Source organism: Homo sapiens, chromosome 10, assembly GCF_000001405.40.
Source record: "Homo sapiens chromosome 10, GRCh38.p14 Primary Assembly".
NCBI classification, from domain to species: Eukaryota; Metazoa; Chordata; class Mammalia; order Primates; family Hominidae; genus Homo; species Homo sapiens.
In genome coordinates, this window is record NC_000010.11 from 26004257 (window position 1) to 26017313 (window position 13057).

At 37.0% G+C, this 13057-nt stretch overlaps 1 protein-coding gene across 21 annotated transcripts in view; it reads left to right on the forward strand.

Moving 5' to 3' along the window:
• Positions 1 to 13057, forward strand: part of MYO3A (myosin IIIA) — a 278304-nt gene that overhangs the window by 70028 nt on the left and 195219 nt on the right. For all 21 annotated transcript variants that reach the window (XR_930494.1, XM_011519498.3, XM_011519500.3 and 18 more), the window contains one exon: positions 12564 to 12640. Coding sequence is in view for 20 of the 21 variants with exons in the window: in XM_011519498.3 (XP_011517800.1) it covers positions 12564 to 12640 (77 nt within the window). In the remaining variant the exon portion in view is untranslated. The remainder of the gene's footprint in view (positions 1 to 12563; positions 12641 to 13057) is intronic.

Consider the following 13057-nt stretch of genomic DNA (forward strand, 5'->3'; position numbering starts at 1 on the left):
GGGATCAGGGTGGAGAGAAGAGACTGGTTACCTAAAGGAGGCCTGATACAGTCAGGAGATATACTGAGGACAACGGGCGGCAGGTTTCTTACTGTTACAGAAAAGAATTATAGTGATGTTGGGTTGGAATTGGAGGTATCAATGTGAACTCACCATTTTATATATATTTAATATCTGTTTATATTAATATATATAAACATATAAAAATAAATATAATGTGAATGCATGTGAGTGTGTGTGTACATATTACCTAGCTAATTCCACTAACAGGGTATTAAGAGAGCACATCTAGCACCTAGCTTTTGGTTTTTAAATGTAATTCTCAACTAAAAGGAATCAAGGATTCTTGGAGAAAGGCTGATTTTAGGGCTCCATGAGATGACCCTGGAACTTACTGTGCCCTCCAAATAAGGAAATACTCAAATAATGATGGAGACATGTCAGAAGCACACAGAAACCAACTTGAAGCAATTCTTACTCTCTAGATCTGGGACAGTTTGAGCACCAAAATACTAATATTGCTGGTAATGATAGTAATTCACTGAATGCAATAAAAACTCCATTAATCCATACTGTCATAAATACATACATAATTAAATGAATGGGGAGAAGCAAAAGCTTTTCCTTACAGAAGAATGCTGATGAGTAAAGATAGAAGAAATCGTGTAATTTTAAAATTCATCATTTGGTAACCATCTATGTAATAATTAATTCATCCAAAAATTTCAATGGCTGCTAAAACTAGTGAGTTAAGTTTTGATTAGAAATAGGGTAGCTTAATTGTTTCGAAATATCTCTCCACAAAATACTAATTAATTACAAAAGAAAGAGGGAAAGATTACAGGGGAGAAGACTGGCAGACACAACCATTAATCAAGTGCTCAAAGCAAACATAACTAGTAATGAGATGAATGCAAACCACACAGCACCTGAGAGGATGCAATGAGAAGACCTCAGCATCACTTCTGTGATGTTCCTGCCAAAAATAAAATCGTGAGGGAATATACAACAAACCCAAATTCAGGAACAGTCTATAGAACAACTGGCCTGAAATCTTAAAAAAAAATGTTAAGTTCATGAAATTCAAGAAAAGATTGAGGAACTCCTCCAGATTGAAGGAGATTAGAAACTTGACAACTAAAAGCACCACATAATCCCGGATTAGATCATTTTGTTTTAAAGGACATATTTAGGACAGTTGATGAAATTTGAATGGGCTCTGTAGAGTAGATGATAGAAGTGTATCAGCATTAAAATTCCTGATTTTGAAGGTTGTGTAAGGGGAATATCCTTGTTTGTGGCAATTACAAACAAATATATAGGAGTGAAGGGGCATTATGTAGCCCACCTTACTCTCAGATGGTTCAGGAATAAAAGTACTTTGTAGTTTTCTTGCCAACTTTTCTCTAAGGTTGAAATTATGTGTATATGTGTATATATATGTATATATGTAATACATATTAGTTGAATGTTATGAATCTTGAAAATTTGAGAGCTAGTGCTTTATAGAGTGAAATAATACACTGAAAAAGAAACTAGGGGGAAACCATTTTAAAAGCTGGCAGAGTTTTCAAATGCTCATAACTATATAAAACATTAATATATTACTCATCCAGAATACATTTTTGTACTTTGAGGAGGCGACTTTTACCTTATTTGAAAGGCAAGGTCTTTATAATTATTATGTAAAGTTGAACCATGAATAAGTGGACTCTTTATTTTAGAGCTTTATGATTCAAGCAGAACCTGTGGGCTCAGGAGTTCCAAAACTGACTATTTTTCAAAGTCGAATTAAGCTATTTAACATTATAGAAACTGCTGTAGGTTTCAGTCAACGATCTTTTAGTTGTAAGGACTAGATGCCCCAACTAGCTACTGGGTACATAACGAAATGAAGGCAGAAATAAAGATGTTCTTTGAAACCAACGAGAACAAAGACACAACATACCAGAATCTCTGGGACACATTCAAAGCAGTGTGTAGAGGGAAATTTATAGCACTAAATGCCCACAAGAGAAAGCAGAAAGATCCAAAATTGACACCCTAACATCACAATTAAAAGAACTAGAAAAGCAAGAGCCAACACATTCAAAAGCTAGCAGAAGGCAAGAAATAACTAAAATCAGAGCAGAACTGAAGAAAATAGAGACACAAAAAACCCTTCAAAAAACTAATGAATCCAGGAGCTGGTTTTTTGAAAGGATCAACAAAATTGATAGACTGCTAGCAAGACTAATAAAGAAGAAAAGACAGAAGAATCAAATAGATGCAATAAAAAATGATAAAGGGGATATCACCACCAATCCCACAGAAATACAAACTACCATCAGAGAATAGTACAAACACCTCTACGCAAATAAACTAGAAAATCTAGAAGAAATGGATAAATTCCTGGACACATACACCCTCCCGAGACTAAACCAGGAAGAAGTTGAATCTCTGAATAGACCAATAACAGGCTCTGAAATTGTGGCAATAATCAATAGCTTACCAACCAAAAAGAGTCCAGGACCAGATGGATTCACAGCCGAATTCTACCAGAGGTACAAGGAGGAACTGGTACCATTCCTTCTGAAACTATTCCAATGAATAGAAAAAGAGGGAATCCTCCCTAACTCATTTTATGAGGCCAGCATCATCCTGATACCAAAGCCAGGCAGAGACACAACCAAAAAAGAGAATTTTAGACCAATATCCTTGATGAACATTGATGCAAAAATCCTCAATAAAATACTGGCAAACCGAATCCAGCAGCACATCAAAAAGCTTATCCACCATGATCAAGTGGGCTTCATCCCTGGGATGCAAGGCTGGTTCAATATACGCAAATCAATAAACGTAATCCAGCATATCAACAGAACCGAAGACAAAAACCACATGATTATCTCAACAGATGCAGAAAAGGCCTTTGACAAAATTCAACAGCCCTTCATGCTAAAAACTCTCAATAAATTAGGGATTGATTGGACGTGTCTCAAAATAATAAGAGCTATCTATGACAAACCCACAGCCAATATCATACTGAATGGGCAAAAACTGGAAGCATTCCCTTTGAAAACCGGCACAAGACAGGGATGCCCTCTCTCACCACTCCTATTCAACATAGTGTTGGAAGTTCTGGCCAGGGCAATCAGGGAGGAGAAGGAAATAAAGGGTATTCAGTTAGGAAAAGAGGAAGTCAAATTGTCCCTGTTTGCAGATGACATGATTGTATATCTAGAAAACCCCATCGTCTCAGCTGAAAATCTGCTTAAGCTGATAAGCAACTTCAGCAAAGTCTCAGGATACAAAATCAATGTGCCAAAATCACAAGCATTCTTATACACCAATCACAGACAAACAGAGAGCCAAATCATGAGTGAACTCCCATTCACAGTTGCTTCAAAGAGAATAAAATACCTAGGAATCCAACTTACAAGGGATGTAAAGGACCTCTTCAAGGAGAACTACAAACCACTGCTCAAGGAAATAAAAGAGGATACAAACAAATGGAAGAACATTCCATGCTCATGGGTAGGAAGAATCAATATCGTGAAAATGGCCATACTACCCAAGGTAATTTATAGATTCATTGCCATCCCCATCAAGCTACCAATGACTTTCTTCACAGAATTGGAAAAAACTACTTTACAGTTCATATGGCACCAAAAAAGAGCCTGCATCGCTAAGTCAATCCTAAGCCAAAAGAACAAAGCTAAAGGCATCACACTACCTGACTTCAAACTATACTACAAGGCTACAGTAACGAAAACAGCGTGGTACTGGTACCAAAACACAGATATAGATCAATGGAACAGAACAGAGCCCTCAGAAATAACGCCGCATATCTACAACTATCTGATCTTTGACAAACCTGAGAAAAACAAGCAATGGGGAAAGGATTCCCTATTTAATAAATGGTGTTGGGAAAACTGGCTAGTCATATGTAGAAAGCTGAAACTGGATCCCTTCCTTACACCTTATACAAAAATTAATTCAAGATGGATTAAAGACTTAACCATTAGACCTAAAACCATAAAAACCCTAGAAGAAAACCTAGGCATTACCATTCAGGACATAGGCATGGGCAAGGACTTCATATCTAAAACACCAAAAGCAATGGCAACAAAAGCCAAAATTGACAAATGGGATCTAATTAAACTAAAGAGCTTCTGCACAGCAAAAGAAACTACCATCAGAGTGAACAGGCAACCTACAAAATGGGAGAAAATTTTCGCAACCTACTCGTCTGACAAAGGGCTAATATCCAGAATCTACAATGAACAAATTTACAAGAAAAAAACAAACAACCCCCTCAAAAAGTGGGCGAAGGATATGAACAGACACTTCTCAACAGAAGACATTTATGCAGCCAAAAAACACATGAAAAAATGCTCACCATCACTGGCTATCAGAGAAATGCAAATCAAAACCACAATCAGATACCATCTCACACCAGTTAGAATGGCAATTGTTAAAAAGTCAGGAAACAACAGGTGCTGGAGAGGATGTGGAGAAATAGGAACACTTTCACACTGTTGGTGGGACTGTAGACTAGTTCAACCATTGTGGAAGTCAGTGTGGCGATTCCTCAGGGATCTAGAACTAGAAATACCATTTGACCCAGCCATCCCATTACTGGGTATATACCCAAAGGACTCTAAATCATGCTGCTATAAAGACACATGCACACGTATGTTTATTGCGGCACTATTCACAATAGCAAAGACTTGGAACCAACCCAAATGTCCAACAATGATAGACTGGATTAAGAAAATGTGACACATATACACCATGGAATACTATGCAGCCATAAAAAGGATGAGTTCATGTCCTTTTTAGGGACGTGGATGAAATTGGAAATCATCATTCTCAGTAAACTATTGCAAGAACAAAAAACCAAACACCACATATTCTCACTCATAGGTGGGAATTGAACAGTGAGAACACATGGACACAGGAAGGGGAACATCACACTCTGGGGACTGTTGTGGGGTTGGGGGAGGGAGGAGGGATAGCTTTAGGAGATATACCTAATGCTAAATGATGAGTTAATGGGTGCAGCACACCAGCACCAGCATGGCACATGTATACATATGTAACTAACCTGCACATTGTGCACATGTACCCTAAAACTTAAAGTATAATAATAATAAAATAAATTTTTTAAAAAAGGCCAAATACAAAAAGCAGTCTCACAAATGAGAGAGCAGGCCCAAGGGGACTGGAACTGGGACAGGTAAGTGAAAGGCAAGAGCTGAGACTGCTTGCTGCCTCCTACTCTCTCATTGGAGAAACAGTCTCTTCTCCCTACTCCTCAGGTGCGGGTGTGCAGAGCAACCTCTGGAGTTTTTATGTTGCTATCAAGTTCACTCAAAAACAGAAGCCTTAACCTCCCTTGTCTGACCTCAACACAGCTGTAGAAATTTTATTAAGAGCTACCAAGTGTGCTTCTCTATGATGTGATAACTTCAGGTAAACCAAGAGGACTTTACTTATATTTTTAAGAATGACTTCTTTGCTTCTCAGTCCTTCTCATTGTAAAACAAGTATTTTGGACTAGAACTAAAATATCTTAGTCTGCAGCTCTAAAATTTTAATCTCTGAAGAACTTTAAGTTAATAGAAATTGTGGTGGGCAGGAGAGAGGACAATGGAGCAGGTAAATGGGGCAAAAAGGAAATGGAAAAATAAGACAAGGTATCAGTGATGATAGTGTACCATGAATGAGAAGTATGCTGTATACTCTCTACAGCTAAGGTCCAGTACTGGACATATGTACACATGTACATAGTCATCCAGGATTGAATGATGCAGACAGAGCTAGGTGCATAGTTCATATGTCCAAAGCCAAGAAGAATGCAGCAAACAGTGTGATGTTGAGATCTTTAAAGAAAGCCATATAATTATCTTTATTATCAGATATGAACTAAGTTTTAAAGAAAGGAAAAGATCTAGATCCAGGAAGACTGGAGAGGATGGACTTCCAAGAGAAATCACATGAATATTGATTGGAAAGGTGGTTGGAGTGAGCCAGTTACCTTGAGTTGCTGTAGAGACTCATTGAATCTTAAAGCTAGAAAGAAGCTTAAATATCATTTGGTATAAAGTACAGGAACCTCAAAAGATTTTTTAACCTTGTTATATGCAAAATGTCTGAATATGAATTTCTTGATGTGAAAGTATATAGCATCCATGAGATAGACTAAGTAGTTGTTTTTTTTTTTTTTTTTTTTTGTTTTGTTTTTTTATGGAGTCTTGCTCTGTTGCCCAGGCTGGAGCGCAGAGGCGCAATTTCGGCTCACTGCAACCTCCGCCTCCTGGATTCAAGCGATTCTTCTGCCTCAGCCTCCCAAATAGTTGGGACTACAGGCACACACCACCACACTCGGCTGATTTTTGTATTTTTAGTAGAGACGAGGTTTCACCATATTGGCCAGGCTGGTCTCGAACTCCTGACCTCGCGATCCACCTGCCTCAGCCTCCCAAAGTGCTGGGATTACAGGCATGAGCCACCGCACCCCGCCAAGATTCACTAAGTAGTTTTTAATCCAAAAGTAATAAAGATCACTTATTTATTCCAATCCCCTAAATTAAACAATGAGAAAACAAGAGCCTACAGAAGCAAAATGACTTGCTGAAGGGCACACTTTAATATTCCATTTGCTAGAGATTTACAATGGTTTTGAAATATACTAACTGAAGAGTTTTGCATATATTTGTTAAATACTATTTAATTAAATAAGATTGTCAAATATAGCATTCTGTTTACTTTGTGGATTGTTTTTGTTTTTGAGACAGCATCTCACTCTGTCACCCAAGTTGGAGAGCAGTGGTGCAATCTTTCGGCTCACTGCGACCTCTGCCTCCCTGGCTCACAGGTCTATTTACATATTAAAGATGATTATTCCTGGCCCAGGGTAGTGGCTCACACTTGTAATGCCAGCACTTTGGGAGGCAGATGTGTGTGAATCGCTTGAGCCAACGAGTTCAAGACCAGCCTGGGCAACATGATGAAACCCTGTCTCTACTAAAAATACAAAATAAAAGTCAGCCGGGTGTGGTAGTGTGCGCCTGTAGTGCCAACTACTTGGGAGACTGAGATGGAAGAATCACCTGAACCCAGGAAATTGAGGATGCAGTGAGCTGTGATTGCACCACTGCATTCTAGCCTGGGCGATGGAAGTGAGACCATGTCTAAAAAAGTTTAAAAAAAAAGAAAATTATGATTTATATACTTAGTTTACATTATTTAAAAATCATTTCAACAAACTAGAAAACATAGAGGAAATGGACACATTCCTGTAAGCATACAACCCTCCTAGATTGAATCAGGAAGTAATGGAAACCTTAAACCAATAACAAACAGCAAGATTGAACTAGTAATTTAAAAACTGTCAACAAAAAAAGTCCAGGACCAGACCTATTCACTGAATTCTATCAGACATTCAAAGAAGAATGGATGCCAATCCCACTGAAACTATTCCAAAAGACTGAGAAAGAAGGATTCCTCCCTAAATCATTCTATGAAGCTAGTATCACCCTGATACCAAAAGCTGGAAAGGACACAACTACAGACCAATTTCCCTGATGAACATTGATGCAAAAATCCTCAACCAAATACTAGCTAACTGAATCCAACAGCACGTCAAGAAGATAATTCATCATAAGCAAGTGGTTTTCATCCCAGGGATGCAGGGATAGTTTAACATATACAAGTCAATAACTGTAATGAATCACATAAATAGAATTAAAACCCAAAACCATATGATCATCTCAATAGATGCAGAAAAAGCATTTAACAGAATCCATCATCCCTTTATGATAAAAACTCTCAACAAACTAGGCATGGAAGGCACCTATCTCAAAATAATAAAAACCGTCTATGACAAACACACAGCCACCATCATACTGAATGGGGAAAAGTTGAAAGCTTTCCCCCTGAACAGGAACAAGACAAGTAGGCCCACTTTCACCACCCCTATTCAACATAGTTCTGGAAGTACAGAGCAATTAAGCAAGAGAAGAAATAAAGGACATCCAAATTGGAAAAGGGGAAGTCAAACCTGGCTGTTTGCAAATGATATGATTGTATACCTAGAAAATCCTAAAGACTCCTCCAAAAAACTCTTAGATTTGATAAACTAATTCAGTCAAGTCTTAGGTTACAAAATCAATATACACAAATCAGTAGCCCTGCTATACCCCAAAACGACCAAGCTGAGAATCAAATCGAGGACTCAATCCTTTTACAATAGCTGCAAACAAAATAAAAATACTCAGGAATATACTTAACTGAACAGGTGAAAGATCTCTACAAGGAGAACTACAAAACACTGCCAAAAGAAATCATAGGTGACACAAACAAATGGAAATGTATCCCATCCTCATGGATTGGAAGAATCAATATTGTGAGAATGACCATACTGCCTGAAGCAATCTACACATTCAATGCCATTCCCATCAAAATACCAATATTATTTTTCACAGAATTAGAAAAAAATGATTCTAAAATTAATATGGAACCCAAAAGAGCCCAAATAGCCAAAGCAATCCTAAGCAAAAAACAAAACAATACAAAAAAACTGAACAAAAACAAAAAACAAATCAGGAGGCATCACATTACTGGACTTCAAATTATACTACAAGGCTGTAATTACCAAAACAGCATGGTACAGGTATAAAAGTAGGCACATAGACCAATGGAACAGAATAGAGAACCCAGAAATAAAGCCAAATACGTACAGCCAACTGATCTTTGACAAAGCATACAAAAACATAAATTAGGAAATAGATACCCTATTTAATAAATGATGCTGGCAAAACTGGCAAGCCACATGTAGAAGAATGAAACTGGAACTCTATCTCTCACCTTATACAAAAAGCAACTCACGATGGATCAAAGACTTAAATATAACACCTGAACCTATTAAAAATTCTAGGAGACAACATTGGAGAAACTTTTCTAGACATCAGCCTAGGCAAAGAATTCATGACTAAGACCCCAAAAGCAAATGCAACAAAAACAAAGATAAATAAATGGGACCTAATTAACTAAAAATCTTCTGCACAGCAGAATAAATAATCAACGGAATAAACAGACAAACCAAAGAATGGGAGACAATATTTGGAATCTATGCATCCAACAAAGGATTAATATCCTGAATCTACAAGGAACTCAAATTACCAATAAAAAAAAAGTCCATTAAAAAGTGGGCAAAGGACATGAATAGACATTTCTCAAAAGAAAATATATGAAGACCAACAAACATGAAAAACTGTTCAACATCATTAATCATCAGGGAAATGCAAATTAAAACCACAATGAGATATACTACCATAATCCTGCAAGAATGGCCATTACTAAAAAGTGTGAATACAATAGATGTTGGCAGGGATATGGGGAAAAGGGAATACTTACACGCTGCTGGTGAAAATGTAAATTAGTACAACCTCTATGGAAAATAGTATGGAGACTCCTTAAAGAGCTATTAATAAAAGTAGATCTACCATTTGATCCAGCAATTCCACTGCTGGATATCTACCCAAAGGAAAAGAAGTCATTATATGAAAAAGACACTTGTACTTGTTTGTTTATAGCAGCACTATTCACAATTTCAAAGATGTGGGACCAACCTAAGTGCCCATCAACTAATGAATGTATAAAGAAAATGTTGCATGTATACACCATGGAATACTACTCAGCCATTAAAAGGGATAAAATAATGTCTTTTGTAACAACTTGGATGGAGCTGGAGGCCATTATGCTAAGTGAAATATCACAGGAGTAGAGAACCAAAAACCATATATTATCACTTATAAGTGGGAGCTAAGCTGTGAGTATGTATTACATACATGTGTGATGTAATGGACTTTAGAGACTCAGAAGAGAGTGAGCGGGAGTGGGGCTAGGGATAAAAAAACTACCTCTTAGGTACAGCATACGCCACTAGGGTAATGGGTGCACTAAAGTCTCAGAATCTACCACTGTATAATTCATTCATGTAACAAATAAACACATGTACATCAAAAGTTATTGAAATAAAAAAATAAATAAAAACTATTTTAAGCGAAGAGTTGTCTAACCAATGTGGAAGTCTTAGGCCTTTTAAAAATGTCAACTGTAGAACTAGGTTTTAAACTTCATATAACTTTCAGAAATGGGAGAGCAAAACTTTTGCTTGTTACTGCATGCCAATATAAAAGTCTTATTTAACTTTAAAAAAATCCACCAATTTAAATATTAATCTGATTTCAAAATATTAATCTGATTTCAAAAATACCTTCACAGAAATATCCAGAATATAGTCTTACCAAATACTGTTTGACTTATGCAATAGGAAATGGGGTGGCTGTACAGTCATGGAACAGTCTAGGAAGCATTGTTGGATGACCTAAAATAGCCATGGCCCTCCCAAGTTGACACATAAAATTAACTATCACAGTGTCTTAACCTCATCAACAAAATAATAATGTTAGATGGTATAATACAATTTATGACCCCTTTATGTTGACAAAATTCTATATTTTTATAGTTTCAGTTCTCATTCCTACAGTATTTTGTTATTAACAATGACAAAAACTATGCTTTTCTCTCTGCTCTATTGAGATGTCAAGGGTTATAGCAAATTGAGTTCCCAGAAGTTGTCTGGTCTATTTGAGCCACAATAGAAAACACATATTTGATGTTTCTGCTGTCTTTCTAAGATCCTAAGAGTTTTCTTGACTACAAGAATAAAGCCTGCATGTTTCTATCCCTAGAAATAGCACTTATGCGATAGGGAATGGAGTTGCTGTACAGCCATGGAATAGCCCAGGAAGCCTTGTTGGACAGAACTAAAATAGCCTGAAAATTCCCTAGCAAAGCAAACGACTGAAGAAGCATTAACATAAACCTAAACCTCTATAATGTTCCTGTGGCTTTGACTTTTAATAGATTATTGCTCTTTCTATTAGCCTGTTTTCTGTTCAGCCTTGGTCCTTTTTGACCTCTTTTTCCTTTCTGTATCTTCTCATTATACCAACATTCTGCCTGGAATTTTCCACCCATCAGCAGCTTCTCTCTTGAGATGATTATGTAACTGTTTATCTTGGTGACTTATTCCTTTAGTTACTCTCTAGACAAGATGATTTTCCTAATCTTCTTTACTTCCTAGGGCTCCTGAACCCATATTTTGGATCCCTGTTGCCTTTAAAAGTGATTTATGTCAATCATTTTAATAGAATTTTGCATTTTTCTATCTTAGCTATTTTTCTTGTGGGAATTTACACTAAGTAAAAATATCATTTGTCCTCAGAAGAGTGACTTTTCTTTCCAGCTTAAGTTTACTAACCTGAAAATGAGCAAGTTAGAATTCATGACCATTAAGTTATCTTCTAGCTGTGAAGCTAGTTTTGTGTTAGTTTAATGATCTTGATGTTTAACAGGCATTGCATAGCACTCAAAAAACATGAAATTTAGTAAATTCCTTCCTCTGTCACTTGTTCATAGTTGGGCATGTGTCCTGTTTTTAATGTTACACTCCTCACTCTTCTGTCTAAGTATATTTCCAATACTGAAACACCCATTTGGTTGCATATGGCCGTTGAATTTCATGGTAAAAGTCAAATGCCATCTTGGAGAAATAAAATATATTTCCATTTTAAATCTCCTTTAGTACCTTTCCTCTACTTGGCTTTTAAGATAAGCAACCAAAGCCTAAAATTAATGTGACTTTGGGGAGGCACTTTTCAAAGCAGGGAAATCAGGTAGTAAAAGCCCATGATTTGGGTTTAACCCATCAAGTCCAGAGCAAGGTGAAGGGTAGGAGCTCTGTACAGTCAGATAACCAGGACCCCTTGTGTGAGGAGCAGGAGTGTGAAAATGGAGAAAAGAAACTGTACTCCTAATTCTCTTGAAGGTCAGTTATGAGTGTATCTAACAAGGTGCAATTAATGGAATGACATGACTGAAATATTTGATTATACCTCTTTACTGTAGCTCTTCAGTCTGTAATCTCTCTAAAGGAAGAGAACTCGTTCTGTTAATGATGTTGGTTTAAATAGATATAGTTAATTTGAAACTTCCAGTCAGATAAGGTGTGATTTGCCCAGGGTTGGTAGATGGAAAATAATTTTATGAAGATTCACAAGTCACCTACTATGTGCATAACACCATATAGGACATTCTCAAACTCACTGGAATTTGTTAGTGGGCAGGGACAGGAAGAGGGCAGGGAGGAAGCACGCCATTCAAATAACAATTACATGACAAAATATGTAAAATCGTTTACAATGTAGAAGATAGAAAGAAATAGGGATCAGTATAATTGGAGCAGATTAAAAGCCAGCATGGGGGAATTAAGACTTGAAATGGGGCTTTAGGAAGGAGCAGGATTTGGAGTTGAGAAAGAGAAAGTAGGAGCACCATTCTGGTTTTTGGCTCTGCAGAAATCCTGATTTAGGATCCTTTAATGTGACACTAGGTCCACTGGCAGGTTTGAGGAAATGGAATTTTAATATTAGTTTGCAAAAAAGATTATAGCAATTGAAAGCTCTTTATATGAGTAATTAATGCAAAAAAGTACATCTTGTCTCTTCCTCTAGGTGTGTCTGCACAGCTCACCAGTACCCGGCACCGTCGGAACACATCCGTAGGAACACCGTTTTGGATGGCTCCTGAGGTCAGATAGAGTTTTGAGGCAGACAAACGTAATAGCTGATCCTGTTTGACTTTCCTTTTTATGTGTACTCTATCTCTGTAAGCATTTTGGAATATAACAGAAGAAACTCTCAGTTGTGTTATTTTCATGTGAGAATTTTGCATGTGTGAGGAGGCACCTGGGAGGTGGTCAATAAATGGGCTGTGAATGAACACGAGTCAATGAAAGAGGGAATGAGTAAACCAGATGATGTAAAGAGAAACTACTTCCAGGTTTGATTTTTCATTAAATTTAGGTGTTTAGCATGTATCTGTACTAATGATATTTACATTATCTTTTAAAATTATAGTAGAAATATAATATTATCGGAACCCCTAGCCTTTGTGGGATCAGATTCAGGTCCATTAACCCATATGGCAGGTTCCTGTGTTGAGTCAC